Below are 27,682 nucleotides of genomic sequence, written 5' to 3' on the forward strand. Positions count from 1 at the left end.
ATAGGCCTAATTATAGTCACTGCACTGGCCACCACTGCTGGAATGGCGTTACATCAATCTATTCAAACGGCTCATTTTGTTAACGATTGGCAAGCCAATTCCACCCAAATGTGGAATTCTCAACAAGGCATTGATCAAAAATTGGCTAATCAAATTAATGATTTAAGACAGTCTGTTATTTGGCTTGGAGATTGGGTGGTGAGTCTCGAACATCACATTCAAATGCAGTGTGATTGGAATACTTCGGATTTCTGTATCACCCCGTATTCCTACAATGAGACTGATCATTCATGGGAAATGGTCAAAGGACACCTTCTAGGTAGGGAAGATAATTTATCATTGGACATAACTAAATTAAAGAAACAAATTTTTGAAGCCTCTCAAGCTCATTTATCCATTGTGCCTGGAGCTGAGGCGTTAGATCAGGTGGCAGAAAATCTTCTGGATTAAACCCCACGACTTGGATTAAGTCTATTGGGGGCTCCACTGTAGTAAATCTTAGAATTATGTTTCTCTGTTTAATTGGCTTATCTTTAGTGTGCCGGACCAGTCAAAGAATCCGGCATCAAAATTGAGAGAACGAACAAGCCTTCATCGCCATGGCACATTTATATAAAAAGAAAGGGAGAGATGTTGTAGGAAGTCAGGGACCCCGAACGAAGGGACCAGCTGAAGCCGTGGCAGAAGAACATAAATTGTGAAGATTTCATGGACATTTATTAGTTCCCCAAATTAATACTTTTATAATTTCTTACGCCTGTCTTTACTGCAATCTCTGAACATACAGAACAACAAATGTCCATGAAGATTTCAGGGACATGTATCACTTCCCCAATCAATATTCTTCTGATTTCCTATGCCTGTCTTTACTTTAATCTCTTAACCCCATCATCTTCGTAAGCTGAGGATGTATGTCGCCTCAGGACCCTGTGATGATTGCGTTAACTGCACAAATTGTTTAAACAACATGAAATCTGGGCACCTTGAAAAAAGAACAGGATAACAGCAATGTTGAGGGAACAAGGGAGATAACCATTAGGTCTGGCTGCCTGAGAGCTGGGCGGAACAGAGCCATATTTCTCTTCTTTCAAAAGCAAATAGGAGAAATATCGCTGAATTCTTTTTCTCAGCAAGGAACAGCCCTGAGAAAGAGAATGCATTCCTAGGGGGAGGTATCTGAAATGGCCACTCTGGGAACGTCTTGTCTTTTATGGTTGTATGTAAGGGATGAAATAAGCCCCAGTCTCCTGTAGCACTCCCAGGCTTATTAGGATGAGGAAATTCCTGCCTCATAAATTTTGGTCAGACCGTTGTCTGCTCTCAAACCCTGTCTCCTGATAAGGTGTTATCAATGACAATGCATGCCCGAAACTTCATTAGCAATTTAAATTTTGCCCCGGTCCTGTGATCTCACCCTGACTCCATTTGCCTTGTGATATTTTATTACCTTGTGAAGCATGTGATCTCTGTGACCCACACCCTATTCGTACACTCCCTCCCCTTTTGAAAATCACTAATAAAAACTTGCTGGTTTTGCGGCTTGCAGGGCATCACGGAACCTGCCGACATGTGATGTCTCCCCCAGACACCAGCTTTAAAATTTCTCTCTTCTGTACTCTTTCCCTTTATTTCTCAGACCAGCCGACACTTAGGGAAAATAGAAAAGGACCCACATTGAATTATCGGGGGTGGGTTCCCCCAATAGGGGGAATTTTGGGGAAGGCATTTACCTCCCGGAGCCTCAGTCTCCTCATCTGTGAAATGGGACAGCAGCCCCTAGCTCTTAGAAGCTGTCTCCATGACACCCAGCACCGGGGTGGCCCTTAGTAGGTGCTTGCAAAGGGGCAATTACTTTAGACTTTAGATGATTCATGCACTCTGCAATTCAGAGTGCACGTTCTTTCCTCAACTCCCAGCTTTCTTAAACCTGCCTCCAGCAGGCCAATTTGTCATTTACCCACAGCAGAGCCCGAGTTGTGGCTCAGGCCCTGGCTGTGGGGCAGAACCGTGAGGCCAGTGGTAGGCATGGGAGCCAGCACCTCCTTGGCCAGGGCCTCCCTGGTGAGGTGCCATGGGCAGCGGCCCCGGCCTGTGCCTGACATGAGGTGTTTCTGTGTGCATCTCAGGGAAGGAGGGTGAGCCGATTGCCTTCCTGGAGTGGAAAGGGTGTTCAGAGGCGAGCACAGCCTTTGGTGGGAATGGTCGGCTTTTGTTTTCCACTGTGGAGGAAGGCCAGACTGTAATTCCTATTTTTCAGGCAGCATCCTCTGCCAAGTTGGCTTCCCCAGCTCCTCCTGGGATGGAAAACTGTGCAGGCTGCTCTCCCCTCCCCCGCCTTTGTGCTAACATGAGACTTGCTTTTGTTCTGCTGACGCGGCAGTCTTGGCAGAAAACTGACCCCTAGGAGAGGGGGCGCTTCTTTCGTGCTTCCCTGCCTTGGCCTCACCCTCGGCCTTGAGGAAAAGCTAAGAGGTGGCTCAGAAGGGGTGGTCCGGGGTCCTGGGGCCCAGCGGGGTCCTGGGGTCCAGCAGGACCTCTCCAAGCCACAAGTGGGTGCCTTGAGAAGGGACCAAGTCCCTGGGAACGGCATTTTCATTAATTCTTTGGTGGAGATGGATTACGTAACCATGAAAGCTTTTAAGAGCTTGGGAGAGGGTCGGCTCAAGTTCTTCTCTGTCTTGGGTAGTTTTCCAGAGCTGAGTTTGCCTTTTATCCAGTAAAGAGTTAGAACTCACTGCCTTCCTTTCCTTTCTTGATGTAAAAAAGCTACATTTGGAGTCCAGTTTACCTTGAATATCCAGAATGGTCATTTAAGGAGGACTCTAACATGTGAAACCAAGAGATTCCAAAGGCATGTCCCAGGACCCTGTTTCTGCCTTTACCAATAATCTACTATGTGCCAGGAACTGGACCTTGTGAAGCAGGGCTCACTGTCCCGTTTTTAACAGATGTGGAAACTGAGGCTCAGAGGGGGATGTCGCTTGCTTGAGGTCACAGGCTAGTCTGTTTGACTCTGAAGCACACGCTTTGGAGCGCTGACATTTGGCTGCCGCAGCTGGCCAGCGGGGTTTTCTCCAGCAGGAAAGAAAATTCCAGCATGGTTGTACACTTTGCCAGTGGAGAAACTACAAATGTTAGCTTTTTTAGGTAAAGGATTCTCCCAGTGGAGGAGGCCTGGCAAACACATGCGCCCTGTCTCTAAACCCATTCAGTGACATTAATACCTGAAGAACCCACTATGTTCTGGACTAGGGGGTTGGGAGACTGGCACTTGTGTGACCCAGGGAGTCCCCCCAATCTCTAGACCTGTTCCCTTTGCTGAAAAAAGATATATATATATATATTTTTTTTTGAGATAGAGTTTCACTCTTTCACCCAGGCTGAAGTGGTGCAATCTCAGCTCACTGCAACCTCCACTGCCCGGGTTCAAGCCTCAGCCTCCCAAGTAGCTGGGATTATAGGTGCCCGCCACCACGCCCAGCTAATTTTTATATTTTTAGTAGAGAAGGGGTTTTGCCATGTTGGCCAGCCTGGTCTCAAACTCCTAGCCTCAGATAATCCACTCACCTTGGCTTCCCAAAGTGCTAGGATTACAGGTGTGAGCCACCATGCCTGGCCTTGAAAAAGGATCTAAAGGGCCCGTCCAGCTCTAAATATCTGTGACTTAGGGTGATTGTCAGATTGCTGATTTTCAGTACATAAAAATCATCATAGTAAGTGCTTGATAGCTGTTAGTGACCTGCCAGGCATTTACAGAATCATCATAACAACTTCATCATTTTAGTACCATCATTATCTCCAATTTGCAAATGAAGTCATCTACCCAGGGTGACAGAGTTGGTGAGGGGGGCATGCTGGGATTGGAACCCAGGTTGTCTGACTCCAGGCACAAATTTTGGAGCCAGCCATACCTGTGTCTGAATTCCAGTTCTGCCATCTGTGCAAGCGCCCATAGGTTCCCTGAGCCTCAATTTTCCTCATCTGTGAAATGGGTGCAGTAATGCCTATGCCGCAGGGCTGCTCTGAGGAGCAAACGAGGTAATGAAAGTAAAGCACTGAGTGACTGGCCCACAGTAGGGAGCTATTATTATACTTGAAGCAGTAACACTGGTTTGGGTAACCCCTCTCTTTGAGCTGAAGCCGTGATAGTATTCTTTGGTAAGAATTTGGAGGGATGGAGACTGACTGCCTTGGGAACAGAGACTAGGCATAATTGCATTAAACGCTGCACAGCAGCTGGTGTGCTGCCTGGTAGCCATGTGAGGTAGGTTCATAAACTTTCTAAAATATCCCCCAAGGATGTGCCGCCCTAATCCCCAAAGCTTGTATATGTGACGAGCTATTATATGCCTTCCGTTCACTTTAGAAGAGGGAGATTATCCTGGATTAGTCAGGTAATAATTGTATGAGTCCTTAAAAGCAGACAGCTTTCCCTGACCGGTGGCAGAAGGCAAAGTCAGAGGGATCTGAAGCCCTAGTCAGATTTGCTGCCCCACTGTTGGCTGGGAGATGGAGAGGGCTCCTGTGATGAGGGATGTGGGAAGCTTTTAGAGGATGAGAGGGTGGCAGCCAGCACGGAAACAGATCTTGGTCCTATAGCTCTGACGAGCTGAACTCTGCCAACAATCTACGTGGAGGCTGGAAGTAGACTTTTCTGTAGGTCTTCCAGATAAGAGCTTGGCTCAGCTGACATCTTGACTTCAGCCTCATGAGACCTTGAGCAGAACCCAGTTGGGCCAAAAACCCTGCCTGGATTTTTGGCCCACAGACCTGTGAGGTAACACATGGGTGTTTTAAGCTATTAAATTGGTGGTAATTTGTTATGTAAGAATAGAAAACGAATACCATAGTTATAGAAACAGAAAGCACTCACTAGAAAAACTTTCTGAGTTCGAATTATTCCCATTTTAGAGATGGGAGAAACTGAGGATCCCAGAGGTAAAGGGTCTTCTCAAAGTCATTCATCAGCTAGTAAATGGTGTAGCATCTAATGCCAAAACCCAAGTACTCAGTCATTAACCCACTTATGCCTAGTGTTCCATTATTGGAATGCTAAGCCTGTGGGAATTATTTATATATTACTGCTCAAGGTCACTGCCAAGGTCTGATTTTTCACTCATGTAAAAATACAAAAAATTGCAACCTCCGGCATAAATGGGTTAATTTCTACAAATGGCTGAGATTCTGGTCAGTGGGATGGTGTCCCCTGATAAAGGAAGACAAGCTGATAAACTGTCCCAAGGGCTCTGGGAACTGTAACAGAGCCCCCAGTGTCCCAGTCTGAGAGCACCCATCTCACCTACCTGGCAGAAAGGGGATGATCCGCTGCTTGGGGTCCTTCTGTCCTCCTTCCATGGGAAATTTGTCCAACATCTGCATCTAAGTGGGGGGCGAATACCAAAAACAAAAACCTTTCATAATGCACTAAACATCATCTAGGACATTTTAAAGAAATTATGTGAAATATGTGATGTGATATACTAAAAGTTCACTGCGTTCAGCTTTCCAGAAACCCAAACTAATGGGAAAGGCAATTTCAGTTGGACCTAGAAACCCCATGAAAACAATGTTTATATCCACAGCCGCCAGATTTGTGAAGGTTCAGAGTTAGGAGAGACCATTCCCGGCTTTCCTGGGGTTCTCCATCCACAGGATCTGAAACGTGAACAACACTCTCAGGGCCACCAGGATTTCATGGACAGCAGGTCATCCTGCTCCTAAGTATTTCTGGGTTGAGGTAAGGAATAAATCATTAGCATCCAATCAATGTGGTTCGGTTCATGCTTATGAGGGCACTATATTCCCCTGACCCAGGAAGAATTCTTCAGGTCGGCTCAACAGATAGCTTTGGGCCTGGCTCTGTGCTAGAGGAACAGGAGACAGCGAGGAAAAGATTCATAATCTAGAGAGGGGACTGAGAAGAGAACTGATCATTAAAAGGTGGTGCAAAGAGAGGGAGGTGTAGGCTGCTGTGGGGGTAGAGGTACAAGAGGGCAGAGTCCCCAAAACAAAAACCTTTCATAGTACCATAAACGTATCTCTGAAAGCTTCAGGGACTTCATGTGAAATATCGGATTTGGCATACAAAATCACGAGGATCTGCTTCTTACTCCCCATGGGGTCTTAGGAAAGTGACAAAACCTTTTAGGACCTCATCTTTAAGTCTGCCATAAGGACACTGACTTGCAGCGTTATTTTATGGATTAAAGCTGGGCTGCGGAAGTCATTAACGCTGTTGTCAAATATTTCTGGTTCTTCTTCTGAGCACATGGTAGATTTGTACTTTCCCCAGTCCCTTGAAGTAGGATGTGGCCAATCCATGTGAGCTGGAGACATGTGTCACTTCAGGGTGGAAGATGATGACTGGTGGATGCTTTCCCACTTGCTATTTCCCTCTTCCATGGGGATTGGCCACTCTCCAGAGCCTGGCTTCTCTGCTGGCCGCGGTCATGGGATGAGGTCCAAAGACCCCAGTGACCTCTGCTGGACATGTGGCCTGAGTGAGCTATGCCAAGATGCTCTGGTTGTATAGTGAGGTTATCTGCATAAGCAGCATCTTAACCTACCCTGTTTAGTACACGGGTCAAGGAATCAAAGCAGATGGTGAGGGAGAAAGTCCCAAGCCTTGTGGAGTAATGGCTGGAATGTGAAAAGCCTGCCCACAGGAAAGTCACTCTGGCACTTGAGATCTGTCCCTCTCATGGAATAAAAGAAACTTTGAAAAGTCCAGGAGAAATACACCAGCTATTGTGTAGGCATTTGGGGAGGGAGGGGAGGACCCGAAGTGGGAGAGAACAGAGATATGTATACGAAACACCTACTATCTGCCAGACATGGGCTAGATTCTTTAGAAACATTCCCTCATTAAATCCTCGATCATTGCTTTAAGGTGGACCTGACTGTCCAGGAAACTGAAGGCCTGTAGCCAACAAAGCGGAGGGGCCAGAGACTGAAGACCACTTGCTTCTTTATCATCAAATCACCTCGCCTCTGAAATGCTACAAAGACAATTAAAAAGGCCAGGGCTGCTTTCCCAGGCTGGAGCTCCCGGCCTCTTTGGTGCTGTTCTACACGATGCCCTGGGCAGGTGAGTCAGCCTCAGCTTGGCTGCGCATCCTGGAAGCTGCTGGAATGCACGGCCTTGCCCCAGAAGTCTTTAAACTTTTAAACTGTGGGTTTTTTTTTTTCCTTCTCTCTTTTTTCCCTTGGTCGCTAGCTACAGGTTTATTAATCTTTATCGTTTCAAAGAACTTGCTTTTAGTTTCACTGATTTTCTTTATTCTTTTTCTGTTCTCAATTTCTTTTCTTTTTTGAGACAGGGTCTTGCTCTGTCACCCAGGCTGGAGTGCGGTGGCACAATCATGGCTCACTGCAGCCTCAATCTCCCTGGGCTCAGGTGATCCTCCCATCTCAGCCTCCAGAGCAGCTGGGACTATAGGCGTGTGCCACCATGCTCAGCTAATTTTTTTGTATTTTGTACAGATGGCTTTTGCCATGTTGCTCAGGCTGTCAATTTCTTATCTTAATTACTGCCTTTCTTTTGTGTGCTTTGGGTTATCACTTTTTTTTTTTTTTTTTTTTTGAGATGGAGTTTCCCTCTTGTTGCCCAGGCTGGGGTGCAATGGCATGGTCTTGGTTCACTGCAACCTCCACCTCCCAGGTTCAAGAAATTCTCCTGCCTCAGCCTCCCAAGTAGTTGGGATTACAGGCGCCTGCCTAACTTTATTTTTAGTAGAGACGGGGTTTTACCATGTTGGCCAGGCTGGTCTCGAACTCCTAACCTCAGGTGATCTGCCTGCCTCGGCCTCTCAAACTGCTGGGATTACAGACATGAGCCACCACGCCTGGCCTGGGTTTTCACTTTCTAGTTTATTTTAATTTTTAAATTTCTAAAATTTAATTTTTAATTGACACATAATAATTGTATATATTCATGGGGTACATTAGTAATGTTGATTCACATAATATGTAGTGATCAGATCAGCATATTTACACATTCATCATCTCAAACATGTATCATTTATTTGTGTTAGAAATATTCAATGTTTTCTTTCCAGCTATCTGAAACTATATAATACGCTATTGTTAACTATAGTCATCCCACAGTACTATAAAACACTAGAACTGGCCAGGCGCGGTGGCTCACACCTGTAACCCCAGCACTCTGAGAGGCCGAGGTGGGTGGATGGCCTGAGGTCAGGAGATCGAGACCAGCCTGACTAACAGTGAAACCCCCTCTCCACTAAAAATACAAAAAAATTAGCTGGGCGTGGTGGCGGGCACCTGTAATCCCAGCTACTAGGGAGACTGAGGCAGGAGAATTGCTTGAACCTGGGAGGTGGAGGTTGCAGCGAGCCGAGACCGCGCCATTGCACTACAGCCTGGACAACAAGAGCAAAACTCTGTCTCAAAACAAAAACAAAACCAAAAACACTCAAAACACTAGAACTTATTCCTCCTATTTAGCTGTGATTTTGTTTCCTTTTACAAATCTCTCCCTATCTCCCCACTTCCCCCTACCCTCCCCAGCCTCTAGTTATCCTCTGTGCTACTTTTCACTTTATGAGATCAACTTTTTTAGCTTCCACATGTAAGTGAGAACTTTATGTTCCTGGCTTATTTCACTTAACATAATGTCCTCCAGTGGCATCTATGTTGCTGCAAATGACAGGATTTCCTTATTTTTGATGGCTGAATAGTATTCAATTGTGTATGCATACCACATTTTCTTTTTCTTTTTCTTTTCTTTTCTTTATTTTGAGACAGAATTTCGCTCTTGTTGCCCAGGCTGGAGTGCAATGGCACGATCTTGGCTCACTGCAGCCTCCGCCTCCTGGGTTCAAGCGATTCTCCTGCCTCAGCCTCCCCGGTAGCTGAGATTACAGGCATGGGTCACCACACCTGGCTAATTTTTGTATTTTTAGTACAGACGGGGTTTCACCATCTTGGTCAGGCTAGTCTTGAACTCCTGACCTCAGGTGATCCACCTGCCCCGGCCTCCCAAAGTGCTGGGATTACAGGCATGAGCCACTGTGCCCGGCCCATACCACAATTTCTTTATCCATTCATCTGCTGATGGGTACTTAGGCTGATTCCACACCTTGGCTGCTGTGACTAGAGCTGCAATCAACATGGGATGTATTATCTCTTAGATATACTGATTTCCTTTCCTTTGGATAAATGCCTAGTGGTGGGATTGCTGAATCATATGGAAGTTCTCTTTGCAGTGTTTTGAGGAACCTCTACATTGTTTCCCATGGTGGCTATACTAGTTTACGTTCCCACCAACTGTGTGTAAGAGTTCCCTTTTCTCTACATCCTTGCCAGTATTTTAAACATGTGGTTTTATTTGTGGTTTTGAGTCATTGTCCCCTGTTCTGTTGCCTGGTGAGGTGGAAATGCTTGGTCCACTGTCATTCAGAGACAGGTGAGGCCACAGTGGGGACTTGCTGGAAAAGGCAGCCTTCTTTTTGTGAATCCAAGAGCTCTTCAATGCCAGCACATAGTAGATGCTCAATAAAAACGGGCTGAACTTGATGTCGATGAAGAGAGGTTGTGAGTGGCGAGGACAAGGGGCTATGCTCTGTACTTTCCAGTCAATTTTTCTGAGAACCTAAAACTTCTCTAAAAACTAAAGTTTACTGATTAAAAAAAAATTGGCTGAACCAATGAACGCAACTGAGCAAACGCTTTGGGAGGCAACTTCAGGAGATGTTTGCTAAGTAACTCTGAGGAATAATATTCACATTACTAATACTAAATAATAATTAGTAATCACAACTAACACGTATATAACAGTTCACAGTGAACATGTCCTCTCATATACGATTTCATGTGACCTTGACAGTAACTCTGTGACATAAATGTTACATTCCCCTTGTCACAGATGAGGTAACTGAGAAGCAGAGAGGGCAGTGAACTTGCCTGAAGTCACACAGCTAAGTGGTGTGTCCAGCCAGTCCATGCATCTTTGTCTAAATTCCATTCTTTTTGCCTAAGACCACTCTTTGAGGCAGCTTCAGAGTGTCACGTGAACACAAAAGTCAGCCTGAGATGAGGTAAGTTTAATATTCTGTGCACATGTGAACAGCATGCTTTCTTTTCGAAAGCAGAGCCATTAATCAGTCTCAGCTGTGGAGTATGTTAGAGATTTATAGGTTTTTGCCTAACACTATCTACTTTTTCCCTTCTCAATTTTATTTGTTAAGACAATGAAACACCATTAAAGGGAACTTTTTTTTTTTTAAAGAATGCACCAGTAATCTGTCCACCCTAACATGACTATTTCCAATCTCCGGGTTCCTTTGGAGTCCCTGCCTGAATGTACATGTCAGCCAATGAGTCCCTGCCACTGCTGTGTTTTTCAGTCCTCAGAGGGGTCTCTACTGCCTGGTCTTAAGAAGCTGCTCTCTTGCCCTTTGTCCTGACTTGATTTTACCCAGATCAGCATGGCCCAAGGAGCTGAAAGGCCTCCCTTTGTTTTATTTGTTGGAGGTGGCAGATCTGGGTTTAAATACTGCATAGTCTAACCACAGACATGACTGCTGGGGACCCAACAGCCCTGGGGTTCAATCCTGATGCTTCCTCATGCCAGCTGTGTGTCTTTGGCCAGACACTTCATCCCTGAGCCTGTTTGGCCGTCTGCAGGATGAGGGACGCAGCCTGCTCCGCGGCGGGGCTGGGTAAATGAGTGCTATGTGGAAACTCTGGGGAGCACACCAGATGCTCAGCAAGAAATCCCCGCTCCTTACACTCTGCCCATATTGAATATGTTATTTTGAAAGTTATTTGGGGATAACTTTTAGTAGTCTGTAAGGCTGTGTGGTTTTTTTTTTTTAATCGTGTTAAATATACACAAGAGAAGATTTACCATTTCAACCACACTTGGGTGTACAGTTCAGTGGCATTCAGCACATTCACAATGTTGTGTAAACATCACCACCATCCATCTCTGGAACCTCTTCATCATCCAAAACTGAAACTGTGACTCCCCCCTCTCCCTCCCCCTGGGCCCTGGCAACCACTACTCTGCTTTCTGCCTCTATGAATCTGACTGCTGTAGCTACCTCCAATAAGTGGATGACACAGTACTTGCCCTTTTGGGACTGGCATATTTCACTTAGCATAAGGTCCTCAAGCTCCATCCATTTTATAGCATGTGGCAGAATTTCCTTCTTTTTTAAGGCTGAATAATATTTGATTGTGAGGCTGTGTTTTAAGGTTGGCAAAAAACCCCTCAGGACTGCCCGGGTGGCCCCGTGGCTGTAGCAGGGCTGTCTGCTGGCACTTTCTGCCATCATGGAGGTGTTCTACATCTTGCTGTCCAATCCAGTGGCCACTAGCCTCCTGGTAGCTATTGAGCAGGTGAAATGCTGCTCCTGCAACTCAGGAGCTCAATTTAAAAATTTTCTTTAATTGACTTGAATTTACATTTAAATACCCTCATGTGACGAGCAGCTGCCATCCCGGACAGTGCAGGGCTGGACTATCACAATATCCTCCTATTTAAACCACATCCAATTTTATTTCGTTTTCTTCATCACTGTGTCCAATGTCAACGGCCATCTGTGAGTTTGCTAGTTGCAAAGACTAGGACTCAGGATAAGATGCTGGGGGATTAGAGCCCTGCAAGCTTTCCTTGCCGAGCTGGTCTTGGTGTGTCCAGGTTTACGGCCACCAATTGCATCTATGCAGAGAACTGTAACACTAGGCATCCAAAGGCCTTGAAGTAGGTTCTCCAAGGGACCAGGCCCAGGCTGTCTGCAGCAGCAGGAGCAGAGGCATGCTCCTCAAAGCCTAACCCATGTCATCCTTGGTAATGAGAAAACCCACTACCCGCGCTCCCCCCAGATAACAAAAGAAGTGGCGCTCAGGGTGAGGAGGACTGGAAACTGAAGAGGAAGATGAGTCATTTGGGGAGTAGGAAGGGAGAAGGAGTCACATCAAGTTGCCACATCACAGGCTTCCAAGAAGAAAGAGAGAACACTCCATCAGCAGTTTTCAAGACATCAGCTTGCGGTAGAGGGAATGCGAGACACGCTGTCCAAAGAACACGCCATGGAAGCTGGCCACCACACGTGGTTTGCGTTAGCAGCAGCCATTGAGGCTGGACTTGGGAGGGGTTTACCCCCTCAATATCACAAAACCCCCAAGTCCCAGCGGAGCCGGAGCAGGAAGTGGAGAAAGGCCTGGGGCCATCATGCGCAGCTGCAGGCTGGCAGAAAGCCACAAGGTCCTGGGGCAGGGCTTTCAGGGCCCTGAACACAACGGTGTCCCTGGGCCTAGTCTACCATCTGTGGTTTGTTGTCTTTGAGGATTCTGGCCCCTCCACGAGCTGGTCTAAATATCAATGTGTCTGGTGTCCTGATGGACGTGCTGCACGGAGGCTGCCACCACCTCCGGTCTGTCCGCTTCTCTCCATACTTACTGCTCCCCCTAAGTCCAGGCCTGTATTTTCTCAGTTCAACCCCCTTACTACTGTTGGCCCTCTCTTCTGCCCCACTACCTCCTCACTGGTACACGGTAAGCACCTGTTAGATATTTGTGCAAAGAACAAATGAGTAAATGAATGAATGAATGAATGAAAAAACAAATGAGAAAAAGTGGTTAACTGGTTTGGTCAGCCACTCTCTGGGAAAGGAAAAATTACATACCAGGTGGCAGCAACAGGGCCTGGACCTGAGTTTAGCTGCAACTGCCCAAGATAATCATGCCTCTTTCTATTTTAGAAATAAAGAATTGCTAACTGTGTGGAAAAAGGCAACTACGGTATTTTCCCAGTGACACACCTTCCATATGGTAATAGCTTTTAGTGGGAAGGGAAAACTATTCCATTTAAGTATGCACAACACGTTGGAGGCATACTCCAATTCCAGAAGATAATGTCTGGGAGAAAAAGTGTGTCTGAGGATGGAGTAAAGGCAGTATTTGGATAAATATGGTTGGTGGAGTCTTGGGCCAGATGTTGGCTGGGATCTTGCTGGGAAGGCTTCCCGGCCAGGCAATGCCTGCCTAGGGAGTGAAAACTCTTCAGTTCTGCCATCCCCTAGACCTGTCCTCAGAAAAGCTGGAAGAAAACCCTCCCTTCCCTTTGGCCTCTGCAGTGGAGCATGGGGGCTTATGGGCAGATAGTCTTAAAAAGTACACTTGGGGCTGTTAAACTCCCAAGAGGGCCGAGGTGGAAGGACCAGGGTCTTAGAAGGAGACAGGTCAAGGCCGGGCGCAGTGGCTCACGCCTGTAATCCCAGCACTTTGGGAGGCTGAGGCGGGTGGATTGCTTGAGGCCAGGAGTTCAATACTGGCCTGACCAACACGGCAAAACCCCATCTCTACTAAAAATACAAAAATTAGCCGGGCATGGTAGCGCGTGCCTGTAATCCCAGCTACTCCGGAGGCTGAGGTGGGGGAATCGTTTGAACCCGGGAAGCGGAGGTGGCCGTGAGCCGAGATCGCGCCACTGCACTCCAGAGCGAGACTCCATCTTAAAAAAAAAAAAAAAAAAAAAAAAAAAGAAGGGGATGGGTCAGTCCTAGCTCAATGGAAACTGGAAACAAGCGGTTTTTGCTGCATGACTTGGGACAGTCTCTGGAGAGACAAAGGCATAGATGGAGATGCAGCCTCCACCTGTGATTTGAGGCGTCCAAGAACTGCTCGAGCCGTAAGCCCCTGAGCCTAGCAGCAACGCTCTGGCACAGCGTGCGGAGCAGGAGAGGAGCCAGAAAAGCTTCTCTGGATCTCTGCAGCATGAACTTCCCCGTAGGGAGTGTTCCTTCTTACAGATGAGGCTGGCATTTCTCCCGAGGGCTCCTTCACGGGCAGAGTGACTCAGCTGGTTCTGTGCCCCCCTGCCAATGTTGGAATTCTGGAAGATGCCCAGCTAAGACTCCTGCTCCATTGCACCTCTGCACCTTTGCACATGAGGTGTCCTCTGCATGCAATGCCCTCCCCCATTCGGTGGAGGGGCCACTCCTTATTCATTGTCAAGACCCTGCTCAGATGTCACCTCCTCCAGCAAGTGAGCCCTGTCTGAGCTCCCTGGCTAGGAGGGAGGTCCCTCTGTGAACACCTGGATTTCTCTCTATCTGAAAGAACATGTGCCTATTCCCACTACACTGGAAGCTTATGGAAAGCAGAGATCCATCTGGGTCCCTTGTGGCAGCTCGAGGTCTAGGTTAGCAAATGTTTAACTGCGCCTTCTGTGAGGGAAGCCCTGGCTCCAGTGATGACCATGACCCTTGGCCTGGGGGACACAATGAACCAGTGGGAACTCAGAAGACAAAGGTTGCACGGTACAGTGTAGAGGGGCTCATGTTTTGGTCAGAACTGCCCTCTGTGGATAGACTCTGCCTGTATCTTAGAGGGAGGAGCCAAATGGGCCTTAAAAAGGGGCAGCCATAGGCAGGACTCTATGTGGGTAAATCTATCTTTCAATAGGCAGATTGAAAGGCAATCCCGGGGCCCAAGGAGGCAGGGAGGTTAGGAGTGCAAGTTTCAGATCCAGCCACACCTGGGCTTGAATCCCAGCCATGCTGCTTTCTGGGCATGTGACTCTGTCTTTCTGAGCTTCAGTTTCCCCATCTGTGAAATGGATACAATACTGACCTCATGCCTGTGAGGACAGAATGAGATGGCATATAAGATGGGCATCTGGCACATTCCAGTTAGTGACTGCCGATATTGTTACTATGTGGCTCAACCCAGCCACATTTCTGCTAGGCACTACCCTCAGCTCTCTGGGCACTCCAGTCATCCCCAGTGCTCTGCCTGGATGCCAATTTCCTTTGCCACACTGATGGACTCCCCAGAGTAGTCCCAAGCCAGGGCAGAAAGGGAGAATCAGAGAGGCTGGGTGACCATCCCAAGGCCGCACAGCTGGTAAGACAGAGGGAAGGACCCGACACCAGGTATTCTTATTTCAAGCCCAGGGCTCTATCCCATTTCCTGCACCCTCAGGTGAATGAGACGTGTGGTCAGATGTCAAGTAAGAGCATCAGGCATCACTATCAGGCCCTTCTAAGGTAAGCAAGTCAGGAAACCAAGTTGGAAGGTGAATCTTCATAAAGGGGAACTTCCAGCCGGGCGCGGTGGCTCAGGCCTGTAATCCCAGCACTTTGGGAGGCCGAGGTGGGTGGGTGACTTGAGTCCAGGAGTTTGAGACCAGTCGGGGCAACAAAGCAAGACTCCGTCTCTACAAAAATTTAAAAAATTAGTCAGGCGTGGTGGCACACACCTGTAGTCTCAGCTACTCGGGAGGCTAAGGTGGGAGGATCACTTGAACCTAGGAGTTTGGGGCTGCAAGTGAGCTGTGATGGCGCCACTGCACTCCAGCCTGAGTGACAAAGTGAGACCCTGTCTCTACTTTTTTTTTTTTTTGAGACGGAGTTTCGCTCTTGTTGCCTAAGCTGGAGTGCAGTGCACGATCTTGGCTTACTGTAACCTCTGCCTCCCGGGTTCAAATGATTCTCCTGCCTCAGCCTCCTGAGTAGCTGGGATTACAGGTGCCCACAACCACGCCCAGCTAGTTTTTGTATTTTTAGTAGAGACGGGGTTTCACTATCTTGGCCAGGCTGGTATCGAACTCCTGACCTTGTGATCCGCCCACCTCGGCCTCCCAAAGTGCTGGGATTACAGGCGTGAGCCACTGCGCCCGGCCTCTACTTTTTTTTTTTTTTTTTTTAAAAAGGACCTTTTCATAGAGACTGTGAGTCTCTCTCTCTCTCTCTCTTTTTTTTTTTTTTTTTTTTTTTTTTTTTTGATATAGGGTCTTGCTCTGTTGCCTAGGCTAGAGTGCAGTGGCACAATCTCAGCTCACTGCAGCCTCGACCTGCTAGGCTCAAGGGATCCTCCCACCTCAGCCTCCCAAGTAGCCTGGGCTACAGGTGCGCACCGTCACACCTGGCTAATTTCTAAATTTTTTGTAGAGATGGGATCTTGTTTTGTTGGCCAGACTGGTCTTGAATTTCTGGGCTTAAGTGATCTGTCTGCCTCAGCCTCTCAAAGTGGTGGGATTACAGGTGTGAGCCATCACACTCGGTGACTGTGAGTCTCTTTTCCCACAAGGGAGCCTGGGTCATGCTCCAACTCCTCAGTGGCCTCTCTGCAGACTGTTTCCTCTGCCTGAATGTCCTGCCCCCGTTGGAGGGGGCATATTGTTTTCTATCACCTACAGGCCATTTCCATGATGTCCTCCAGGGAATCTGCCACTGCTCTGTTAGTCTCCATGCACTGGCAGGACACTGATTCTACTTTCAGTCCCCAGGTTGGTCCCGAATAGCCTGGTCATGTGACCCAAGATGAGCCAATGAGACTTTTGCTTTAACTGTTGGGGTGTTCTCTTTCCCTGAAGTCGCTGGGCTATCTGTGGGATGCAGCCTGGGGCTGTGGCTGCCACCAGCTGGACATCAACTGGCCTGGACACAAAGAAAGCTAAGAAGTGAAGAAAGCCAAGTCCTCATTGATGTGTGGTGCCTAGATCCAGCCACACCTGAAGCCAATTTCCTTAGACTTCTCAGTTACACTCAGCTAATCAATGCTCTGTTTGAATAATCCATCTTGACTGGGCTTCTGTCATTTGTACCTAAAAGAGTTCTGATGAAAACAAGATCTCATGGCCAGCAAGTGGCAGAATTTGGATCAAAGCCCAGCCCTGTCTAATCCCAAAGCCCAGGATCTTCACCACTCTATTAACTGGCATCATCTCCTCTAATCTTTACGCCAATTCCTAGCAGCACCCATGCCCATCAATAATCCTAATAGCTGACATTTGCTTGGTGCTCGACAGCCTAGAAACTGCTCTGGCACTCACCATCCCTTTTACACTGAGATATACTTCACATACCATAAAAGTCACCCTTTTAGAGTGTTCAATGTAGTGGCTTCCAGTATATCCATAAGGTTATGCCTCCATGACCACTAAATCATTCTAGAACATCTTCATCACCCCGAAAAGGTACCCAGTACCCATTAGCAGTATCTTCCCGTTTTCCCCTAGCCTCTGGCAGCCACGAACCTGCTTTCTGTCTATGAATCTGCCTCTTTTGGACACAGATAAGTTTTAACTCACGAGAACCTTGTGAAGCAGCCACTAGAGAGAGGAGCCCCAGAAAAGCAGAGCAGCTAAAAGTGTGGATACTGGGGTCGCCTGCCAGCTTCCAATCTGAGCTCTGAGGCTCACTAGCTGTGTGACTTCGGGCGAACCACTTAACCTCTCTGAGCCTGGGTTTCTTCATTTGCGTAATTGGATAAGCTTGTCTGAAGGACTGAATGAGTCACTACATCTAGATGTTTAGCAGGATGGGGGCCCACATTCAGTGTTCCAGAAATGCCAGCTGTTTCTATTGTTTTCACCCCATGTCACCAATGAGGGCTCTCAGGCACAGAGGGGTTAAGGGGTGTGCCCAAGGCCACACAGCTGGAGGGTGGCTGGGCCCCAGGTCTCCTGACTGAGTCCTCTGCTTTTTCCATTACGCCACACTGGCCTTGCTGCTCCTCCACCAAGGCTCGGCTCTCCCCACGCTGTTTGGGCCAAGTTACTTCTGAAAATACCAGGGCTGCTTGCCAGACAAGAGGGAGGGGAGGGTGGAATCATGAAATCATCTAACTCCAGGGTGTTGCAGGCCCGCAAGGGCTGGTGCGATCCTGCCCTAACCTCTTCCAGCTTTCCCTGCTGGGGTGTGTGTGGGGGAGGAGGCGGCCGGTTCCACGATGCTTCCAGGATAAGCAGGACCCTCTGGAATTCCATGACTTTCCCACTCCAGCCGTCCATCTGGGACTCTGAGCCTGGATGAAGTCCTGCCTTAGACAACTTTGTTACAGGAGGGAAGCCTGTCACGGCAACCCCCCAGTTATTACCGATTATGCTGAGCATGGAGGAAAACCTTAAGTTCTGGTAGAAATAAGAAAGTTGAGTCGGAACAGGAGAGTGGAAGGAACACTGGCCTTGGGACAGGAAGACCCGTGATCAAACCCTGGCTCAAGCATTCCCAAAGGGTATCAGCTTGGGCAAGTCACACCTGTGCAGAGGGACGGCTGACAGCTAACGCGCTTACTGAGCCAGGTGCGTCCGCTTAACCAGCACAATAAATGCACGAGGAAGGCACTTTCATTCCTACTATGCAGATGAGGAGGCTGAGGCTCAGAAACATACAGCGGTGACCCCAAGCTGAGCCCTGAACAGGCAAAGCTGAGATTTGCACCCAGGTCTGTCTGACTGAAAGCCAAGGTCTTAAGCCTTAGGCTGCGCTGGAACAGGGAACTCAGAGAACCCAGTCCACCTTGCACAGGGCCTGGACGCGTGCCTCGACATGTCAGCAATGAACAACATTTGCATAAGCACTTCCAGGGCCCCCTTCCCACTCCGCTTCTCATTAAATCTCTTCCAGATGACTCTACGTCCCCACCTCCTCGGCAACAGCTGACAGGCTCAGCAGTGAACTATGATCCAGGGCCCTTAGGACAATCAGATTCTCCCTTCTGGAGACTGGAATCAGCATCCAGAAACTCTAGTGCTTTGACAACAGGGAAGGACACTGCAGCTCCAGGTGGAAGGTGCTCACTGGGGGTTGCTCTTGGGGGATGTGGGCCAGTGGGCAACTGCAGGAAGTGGTCCAGAACAGGCTCCATGGGAGATCCTGAGGCTACAAGGACAGATGGCCCGGGAGCTGCCAGCTGGTTCCTGGCCCCTGCGAGGCTGGCTGCATTTTCTGCTCTGGGTTTCAGGGAACAATATATCCAACCCCACCCCTCTCTTCGTGCCCAAGCTAGCTGAGTGGGCTTTGCTCGGTGGATGTAAATAATTCCTGGGATAACAATCAGGTGTTATTGTTCTGTACCTCCTCTTCTGCTCCTTGGAGGTGTCAGGCAGGCAAGAGGCCTCTGAAAGCAAAATACAGGTAGCCCTCCCTATCTAGACCCTCACTGCACAAAAAGTCAGTCTAGCAACTTGCAAACATGTTTACCTAACACTCACTCTTTGAAGACCTGCTATAGTGAATCAGCATAAATCACCACAGATCTGGGTAAAGAATGTGGAGGGTCCTCCATTTGTATCTCATTCATTCTCAGCCAGGACTGTGCCTCCTGCCCATGGCATCGAAAGATGCTGGGCATCCCCACTGTGATCCTCCCTTCCTCTTCCCCAGGGTTTAGATCTTTCTTCCCCTGCCCCAGTGTTCGCTCCTGTCAAGTTCACTTTAGATGGTATCTTAGCATCTTTAACTTATAGCTGCTTTGTTTATTTACATTCTGTTTGCTGCAGAGCAGAAGCAAAAATATAATTTGTTTATGATACTGTTTGATATTATTGCATACTGAACACAAAACATCACTAATGAATTCATTACATTTTAAATAATTAGGTAACTGGTGTCTCACTTGCTTTATATTATGCAATGACTCTTGGCAGTTTGTTATGTAGGCGTTTCGGGAAACCAGTTAGGAACACATTATTTCCCCTCCCCCTACAAAATAATGAAACACAAGCTCTGAAAATTCTCTATTCAGCACTGTCAGGAGCAGATTAGGTCAGAATAATGAAGGATGCCAACCTTCTGAGAGAAACTGTGTGGCAAAAAGACAGGATGATGTACAAAGGACAGAGGCAGTCTTCTGACGGCCAGGAAATGTTGACTTCACCTCTGTTCGCGGCAGTTTGTGAAACTACCTCCTTCAGGTGTCAGTCTCCACCCTTATTGACTTCTTGGGTGGAGCAGGGACCCCGGCAAGCCCATTGGCTGCGACATTTCTCACTCATATTGATTGGCGTCGAGTTGAGCCTATGACACACAATAATGTGTTTGCTGGGATTTCTGACAAGTGACTTTTACCCTTTCCTGCTGGGTGTGAGCCCAGAGCTGTTGTATCATTGTGCAATCATGTGGGATCCGAGGATAAAGCCAGCACCATGGAAGGAGGGATTGGAATGAGAGGAAGAAGCCAGATCAGGTGACACCAAAAAAACCCTGGATTAAGATGTGCCTGAAGCCTGGGAGATATATTCTCCTAGGACGTTCAGTTACATCCGCGAAAAAACCTCCTGTTTACTTCAGCCAGCTTCAGTTGGGTTTCTGTCACTCGCAACAGAAGCATTCTGACTGAAAAGAAGACTGTCACGTCAGGATGGAGACTTGTGTTGGCCTGAGAGGTGACATAGCCCCTTACCAGGAGGCTGGGAGAAGACACATGTTCAGAAAGCCGGGCAAGTTCCCAATGTCTCCCGAGGGTTTTCCAAATAACTCTGTTACATCCTATGAGGAGGAACCATGACTACCTCCCACACTTGCTGTTACACGCCATTAGTGACATCAAGAAGAAACTACTAACCCACTGGTTAGACTTGTTTTACCCTAATGGGGATGTGCTTATACCGAGCTGTTCACATTCTGCCTGGCTCCCTATAAGACTGGTAGTATACATGGTGTTCGTTCATTCATTCATTCATTCACCAAACACTGACTGGACATATACTGTGTGTTAGGCCTTGAATAAACTATTAAGGACAGACAGGAAGAGAAAGATGTGGTTCTGGCCCACAATAGTCACAGTCTAGGCAGGGAGACAGACAAGCAGACAGCTTCAATACAGAGAGACACACAGAGCTGTAGGGGCACAGAATGGGTGGCCCTCGCTGGCCAGGGAACAAAGGCAAGGTTTCCTAGGGGATGAGAGTCCTGAAGGGCAGAAGGGGTTACTGGAGCCATGAGTGAGCCGGGAAGGCACAGGAGTGTGTGGGGAGGGCAAAGGCCTGTGGAGAGAGGCCAAGGTGAGGCAGGAGATGCAGGTCTGTCTTCAGAGCTGAATGGCCCCAAAAGTCTAGACACACTCAACAAACCCAGCTCACCAGCAAACACGATTATTGTTTAAAACTTAAGTTCAAACACTGCATGCCAAAGCCATTTGGAAATGATTTCCAGATTACCCTCCATTCTGGAGCAGTTAACAGGCACCCTTTCTCTTATGGAGGAAATATGAAATATCAAAGCATAAAGCAACAAAGCACATTATTTGTGTCTCAAAAGTAATGGATGTCATTTTTTTTTTTTGAGATGGAGTTTTGCTCTTGTTGCCCAGGCTGGAGTGCAATGGCACGATCTCGGCTCACTGCAACCTCTGCCTCCCGGGTTCAAGCAATTCTCCTGCCTCAGCCTTCCGAGTAGCTGGGATTACAGGCACCCGTCACCGCACCTGGCTAATGTTTGTATTTTTCGTAGAGACGGGGTTTCACCATGTTGGCCGGGCTGGTCTCAAACTTCTAACCTCGAGTGATCCACCCACCTCCGCCTCCCAAAGTGCTGGGATTACAGGTGTGAGCCACCACGCCCAGCCATGGATGTCATTTTTAAGTCTGGGAAATTAAAAAAATTCTGGACTCTAAAGCTGTAGTGGAATGTAAGTCCAATTAAACTCTTTCCGATCCTGCAGCTCACCAGAGACCTCAAATCCTTACCTGGAGGTCAAAAAACTTGCTGTAGCGCCGGTAAATGGCCTCGGTGGAGCCGCTGGACCACGTGACCCGGATGATGTAGACCTGCGGGAGCAACAGAGGAGATGGGTGTTAACACCAGAAGGTGGTCTCCCAATCTCTGGGACCCAGGGGGAGCACAAGACTCAGAGTCAGAAAGACGTGGGTTTCAGCCTTAGCTCTGCCAATGACTGGCTGGACAAGTTGCTTGCTGTAAGACTCATCTCCCTCCTCAATAAAATGAGTGTAATAACCCCCAACAGAGTTGTGCAAAGGATGAATGACATCAAGTATGGGGATGCAGTGGCACCACATCAGCTCAGGAGAAGCTGCTGTTTTCGGCATTGCCAGGATTCCTCACTACCCGCTCAGTTCAGTGAGAGACAGGCTGGCTATCTTGCCAGTCATTCCTAAAACCTTGACTTTCATCAGGAGAAGTCACGGAGACGTGCAGCTCTTGGCCATCTTATATCTTCCACAGGCCAGCCCATCATGCTGTCTCCACCGACGAGGACCTAGGCCAAGTTATTTTTTCCCCGAGTCCCAGTTTCTCCTGTGAATGGGGCTAACAGCACCTGCTTCCTCTGCCTCCTCTGCCTCCTCTGCCTCCCAGGATAGATGTGAGGTGCTGATGAAATTAAGGATGAAGGACCATTTTATAAACCAGTGGGCTGTGCTTCCAACCTGTGTCACACGTCACGGCACGCACAGAAAACAATACATTGATAACAAGCCCGGGCAAACTGAGGTGACTATTAGAGGTCAGAGGTGCCTGGCTGGGGCCTTTGGTGGCCCCGGACACACCAGGTAGACACCTAAGGGCTAAGGGATCAGCATACCTGTGACCCATTCCTGGACTGCATAAACTATCTGTTGCTATAGGGTAGTTGTGACAATTAAAATATATGCACAAGTGAAAGCTGTTTGGAAACAAAGAAATGTCATAGAAACACAAGGCGCTCAGTGCTGTTAGAAGCCCTGGGGTTTCACAGGCAGTGTCCCTGTCCTCCATGAGGTGACGGTTAGAAGGAGAGACAATGCATACATAAGTGAAGATGACTGACTCCTGGAATCCTCCTTCCCTACCTTCAGCTCACCCACTTGGATACGGGGTTGGGGGGGGGGGCGCACATTCTCTGTTCATGGTGATTGGTTGAAGGGAGAACATGTGACTTGAGCTGGGCCAATCACAGCCAGTAGGAGTCTGTCCTGGGACTTTTTTGGTTTGGTTTCTTTTTGGAGAGGGAGTCTAGCTCTGTCACCCAGGCTGGAGTGCAGTGACACAATCTCGGCTCACTGCCTCCCGGGTTCAAGAGATTCTCGTGCTTTAGCCTCCCGAGTAGCTAGGATTACAGGCGAGCGCTACCGTGCCCGGCTAATTTTTGTATTTTTAGTAGAGACGGGGTTTTGTCATGTTGCTCAGGCTGGTCTCGAACTCTTGACCTCAAGTGATCCACCTATGTCGGCCTCCCAAAGTGTTGGGATTACATGCTTGAGCCACCGCGCCCGGCCCGCCCTGGGACTTTTGCTCCAACTCTGGAGAAAGCCAAGCTCTTCTCCTGAGGTTGACAGGCTGTCAAGATGTGGAGCTGCTGGGGGCTACCCATCCTCACTGGGGGTGGGGGGGAGCCTGCCTGAGAAAGGAGCCACCATCCCGATGACACAGTCTAAGCTTACATCCAGCTCTGCCTGAAGCTAAATTTATTCCTGGACTGTCCAGTTTCCTGGGCCAATAATTATGTCTTGGGCCACATCCACTGTCTTGAATAACTTTTGTGGCCAGTTCAAGTTGGGTTTCTGACCCACGTAATCCAGTCCAGGTTGATACCGGAAGTGGGCAGGAGAGAGATCTCTGAAGCCTGGAGCCACCACAGTGTAACTGATGGTCATGTAGGATTTAGACAGCAGGAGAGGAAGGCAGTGGCTGTGGGTAGAGGGGAATGAGGGTAGAACAAAGACCAGCTCAGGGTGAAGCCACACTGTGCCTGGCAGCGGTTTCCACAGTGGTTTTAGCCAGAGTCTCTTTTCAAATGAGTTCTTAGGAGAACATTCACATTCCAAACAGAAAAAGATAGAACAACTTCAGGGGCTGGGGCCAGACACCAGTGTGAATATCATGGACTTATAGGAGAAGGTTCTTCAGGTGAGAAGAGACGAAAAATGTTAGGATAAATCAGGACAAGGTTGGAGGTGACCTTGAATGCCACGCTAAGGAGTTCACCTGGCATGGCCTCATCAAACCCAACACAGATTATATTTCAAAACATGGCAGAAATGGGGGAGCTTGGGCTCTAGAGTCAAGAAGCTCTGGACTCACACAATTTCCTAACTCCTGGAGCCTCAGCTTTCTTATCTGGTAAAATGGGGTCATCAAGCATACAGAGTTGTGATTAGCACAAGAGGAAAAGCTCTGAGCACCTTGCCAGGAAGACAGAAAAAGTTCATGAAACCTCAGCACCTTGCTCTCAGACCACCCAATGCCTACCCCATCCCTGCTCACAAAAACAGGCTCCTTTGACACCAAGGATTTGGGCATCCAGCCCACCCTTCTTCCTTGTTTGCGCTCCCCGTTCCTAGGTAACTCATGGAGCCAGGGAAGGGGCCACGGCATCCTTTAGGAGGTAAGAGTCAGTCATCATCTCAGAAAGGCGACTTTGTGATGTGAAAAAACGCTCAACAGTCCTGATGTTTTACTTAACAAGAAGACTTCAAATCTGTTTCTTAGCTTTCCACCCTGCTTCACCGAGACTCCAGCATGGAGATTTTGAATGGTTTCCATTCATTCACTCATTCAGTCTTCAACATCTATTAAGCACCGACTGCATGCCAGGCCCTCTGCTAGGGGTTGAGATACTATGGGGAGCAAGGCAGACCCAGACCCTGCCCTTGTTAAGTGGAGATGGGCAATAAACCAGCAAACCTGCCGACATGCTGGGCAGGACCCCGAAGTCTGCATGAGGGTGGTAGGTGGAGGGGCTGGCTACTTGGATAAGGGGGCCTTGGAAGGGAAGCCTATCTGAGGAGGCAACCTTTGAACTGAGATCTGAAGGGTGAGGAGCTGGTCGAGAGCTGAGGAAAGGGCGTACAGGGAAAAAGAAAAGTGGGAACGAAGATGTGGCAGCAGGAAAATGCTCGCCTGTGTGAGGAACAGGAGAGTATGACAGCTGACAGTGCTGCGGGAGGAAGGGGCTGAGCGGGGGAGGAGGCAGCAGCTGATGACGAGGGGCTTGCAGGCCACAGAGAAGCGTCTGGATTTCATTCTACTGAAGAGCTTGAAGGGGTGGGGGAGGCGTGCGACAGGATCCAGGGTACACGTTTAAAAATATCCATAGGTATCCCTCCAGCTGCTGTGTGGAAACGGCTTGAAGAGGGGCAGGGACACCAGTAAGGCATCTTTTGCACCACTGACAGGAAGTTAGAGCTGGAGCGGACCAAAGAATGCAGCTCATTGAAGGGCTGCACCTGCCAGATGGGTAAACTGAGGGTCAGAAAGGGAAAATACTGTACCAAAGGTGCCCACCACTGGGGATGCTTAAGCTAGGTTTGAATGACTGTCAAGGACACTGCCAACAGGGATTAAAAAACAAGGAAAAATTGTCAAAGAATGGATTTTTTTCTTAAAACCAACAAAAAGCACACTCCCATAGATGGAAAAAAAAATTCTGCTTACACAATTCATCCTTGATCTCTTGTTTACAATTTTTAAAGTTCTGAACATACAGTGCAAGGACTCTGCAGCAAGCCTAATTGGTTTATTGGAATCAACCCCTGAACACAACGTGATGTCTGCATTTTTAGGCAGAGACCTAATTTTTTAACGAGAGCTGCCCTAGCGTAGGGCTTTGTCCCCGTCCTGGGTTTGGGGGCTGGTGAGAGAGCACACACCCTGGGTCACAGAGCCAGCTCTGCTGCTAGAGAAACTCACAAGGCATTCACCTCTCTGGCCACCCACCCTTCTCTCTAAAACAAGGACAATAATCTCCCTTGAGGGGTAAGCCACAATAGCTAACGGAGATGGGGCCAACACCTGGCACGCACTAGGAGTGCAACGTTCAGCTTCCCTCACAGTGGTCATCCCATGTTCCTGCTTGTCTAGTACCTTCCCCTCCCCTCCTTTTGGTAACAGAATCCTGACTTCCCACGGGGAATCCTTCCTCTGGTCTTCATGAGGGGAGTGGGCATGTCTCCCTCCCAGGCCCAGCCAACCACAGCCCTGCTGATGAATGATGGCTCAGGGATGGGCACAAGACGGATGAGAACCAATTCCAGGACTTTTGATGGCAGTCTCAGGGGACAGACCATTTTGCCCACTCAGTGGCTGCTGGGAGAACCTACACCAGGAATTTCCCATGGAAAGCGCCTGTCACACAGAAGAAAGCAGAGCCAGAGGGAGAGAGGAGGGCTCAGACCCCGTGGCAACATTTGAACCCCTGGATCCAGCCTGAATCCGGGACATTTCCCAGATGCAAGACAAAACAGTCCTTTTCTTGTTCACACCAGTTTGATTTGGTGTCTGTTACTTGCAACCAGTGCAATCCTAACACAGTAGACCTTTCCTTTTTTACATCCCCAACCCAGGTAATACTTAGTAGCTTGGTGCCAAGGAATTAAAGACTTCCTCACAGTGGCAGTATTCACAAGAGGCCAAAGATGGAAACAACCCAAGTGTCCATTGATGGATGCGTGCATAAAGAAAATGTGGTTTAGACATAAAATGGGACATCATTCAGCTCTAAAAAGAGAAAATTCCGACACATGCTACCCTATGAATGAACCTTGAGGATATTAGGCTATGTGAAATAAGCCGGTCACAATAGAACAAATACTGTATGATTACAGGAGGTACCTGGAGTAGTCAAATTTATAGACATAGAAAGGAGGATGGTGGTTGCCAGAATGGGTAGAATGGGGAGTGGTTATTTTTCATTCTTCTGAGATGAGGTCTCGCTCTGTCACCCAGGGTGGAGTATGGTGGTGTGATCATAGCTCACTGCAACTTCAAATTCCTGGACTCAAGCAATCCTCCCACCTCAGCCTCCGAAGTAGCTGGGACTACAGGCATGTGCCATTATGCCTGGTTAATTTTATTATTATTATTTTTTGTAGAGACAGGGTCTTGCTTTGTTGCCTAGGCTGTTATCGAACTCCTGGCTCGAGTGATCTTCCCACCTCAGTATCTCAAAGTATTGGGATTACAGCCGTGAGCCACCATGCCTGGCTGGGAGTTGTTGTTTAATGGGTGCAGAGTTTCAGTCTAGGGAGATGAAAAAAGTTCTGGCGATGGATGGTGGTGATGGTTGCTAAGAAATGGCTGAAATGTTAAGTTTTATGTTGTGTGTGTTACCACGATTTTTTTTTTTTTTTTGAGATGGAGTCTTGCCCTATCACCCAGGCTGGAGTGCAGTGGGGTGATCTCGGCTCACCGCAACCTCTGCCTCCCGGGTTCAAGCAATTCTCTGCCTCAGCCTCCCAAGCAGCTGGGATTACAGGCGCCTGCCACCATGCTCGGCTAATTTTTTGTATTTTTAGTAGAGACGGGGTTTCACTATCTTGGCCAGGCTGGTCTTGAACTCCTGACCTCGTGATCCACCCACCTCGGCCTCCCAAAGTGCTGGGATTACAGGCATGAGCCACCGCACCTGGCCAAAGAAAAATTTTTTAAAGCAGATTTCCTGCAGAGATTTACATACTGCATGTCATGTGCCCTGGAAATGACTAAAACTTTCTCCATGGCACAGCCTTCAAAACATGAGCTGCACATCTGAGAAACAACTTCTATGCAGAATACATTTCTTGAAGTCTTGGTTGTAAGGAAACAACCAACCAGATTACAAGATGGACAAAACTTAAAGAGACACTTCATGCAAGAGGACATATGGAGGGCAAGGAAGCACATGAAATATGGTCACTGCCACTAACGAGGCAAAGTGAAACCAGGAGGAGATGCCACTACCCATCTGTCGGAATGGCTACGATTAAAAAATAGCGACAATAACAAGTGCTGATGAAAATGCACGGCAACTGGAACCCTCATGCATTGCTGGTGGGGAAGCAAAATGCCACAGCCACTCTGGGAAGATCCTCAGTGGGTGCTGAACCACCAGGTGAAAGGCTGTTGAACAGGACACTCACACGGTATCAAAGTATAACCCCATGATTGCTTTCCCAGCCAGGGGAAAAATGTGTAACTCTACAACTTAACCAGGTTACCAAACCTAGCCTCAT

The 27,682-nt window shown here is 48.2% G+C and overlaps 1 protein-coding gene across 3 annotated transcripts in view, besides 4 other annotated features; it reads right to left on the reverse strand.

Moving 5' to 3' along the window:
• SH3PXD2B (SH3 and PX domains 2B) overlaps positions 1-27,682 on the reverse strand; it is a 129,345-nt gene that overhangs the window by 75,793 nt on the left and 25,870 nt on the right. For all 3 annotated transcript variants that reach the window (NM_001308175.2, NM_001017995.3, XM_017009351.2), the window contains exons 2-3: positions 21,443-21,523; positions 5,304-5,379 (exon numbers count right to left, since the gene is read on the reverse strand). In NM_001308175.2, coding sequence (NP_001295104.1) covers positions 5,304-5,379; positions 21,443-21,523 — 157 coding nt within the window. The remainder of the gene's footprint in view (positions 1-5,303; positions 5,380-21,442; positions 21,524-27,682) is intronic.
• Positions 11,728-12,229: an enhancer, noted in NCBI's record as "H3K4me1 hESC enhancer chr5:171839705-171840206 (GRCh37/hg19 assembly coordinates)". NCBI's record gives its function as "activates a minimal SCP1, AML or CMV promoter by ChIP-STARR-seq in primed H9 embryonic stem cells {active_cell/tissue: H9 hESC(primed)}" and the evidence as "EXISTENCE:reporter gene assay evidence [ECO:0000049][PMID:30033119]".
• Positions 17,029-18,005: an enhancer, noted in NCBI's record as "H3K27ac-H3K4me1 hESC enhancer chr5:171845006-171845982 (GRCh37/hg19 assembly coordinates)". NCBI's record gives its function as "activates a minimal SCP1, AML or CMV promoter by ChIP-STARR-seq in naive H9 embryonic stem cells {active_cell/tissue: H9 hESC(naive)}" and the evidence as "EXISTENCE:reporter gene assay evidence [ECO:0000049][PMID:30033119]".
• Positions 19,652-19,946: an enhancer, noted in NCBI's record as "tiled region #10478; HepG2 Activating DNase matched - State 5:Enh, and K562 Activating DNase unmatched - State 21:Repr". NCBI's record gives its function as "activates a minimal TATA promoter and a strong SV40 promoter by Sharpr-MPRA in HepG2 cells, with weaker activation in K562 cells {active_cell/tissue: HepG2 | K562}" and the evidence as "EXISTENCE:reporter gene assay evidence [ECO:0000049][PMID:27701403]".
• Positions 19,767-19,816: a silencer, noted in NCBI's record as "silent region_16622". NCBI's record gives its function as "represses an Ori minimal core promoter by ATAC-STARR-seq in GM12878 lymphoblastoid cells {active_cell/tissue: GM12878}" and the evidence as "EXISTENCE:reporter gene assay evidence [ECO:0000049][PMID:35858748]".

This window comes from Homo sapiens, chromosome 5, assembly GCF_000001405.40.
Source record: "Homo sapiens chromosome 5, GRCh38.p14 Primary Assembly".
Taxonomy (NCBI): domain Eukaryota; kingdom Metazoa; phylum Chordata; class Mammalia; order Primates; family Hominidae; genus Homo; species Homo sapiens.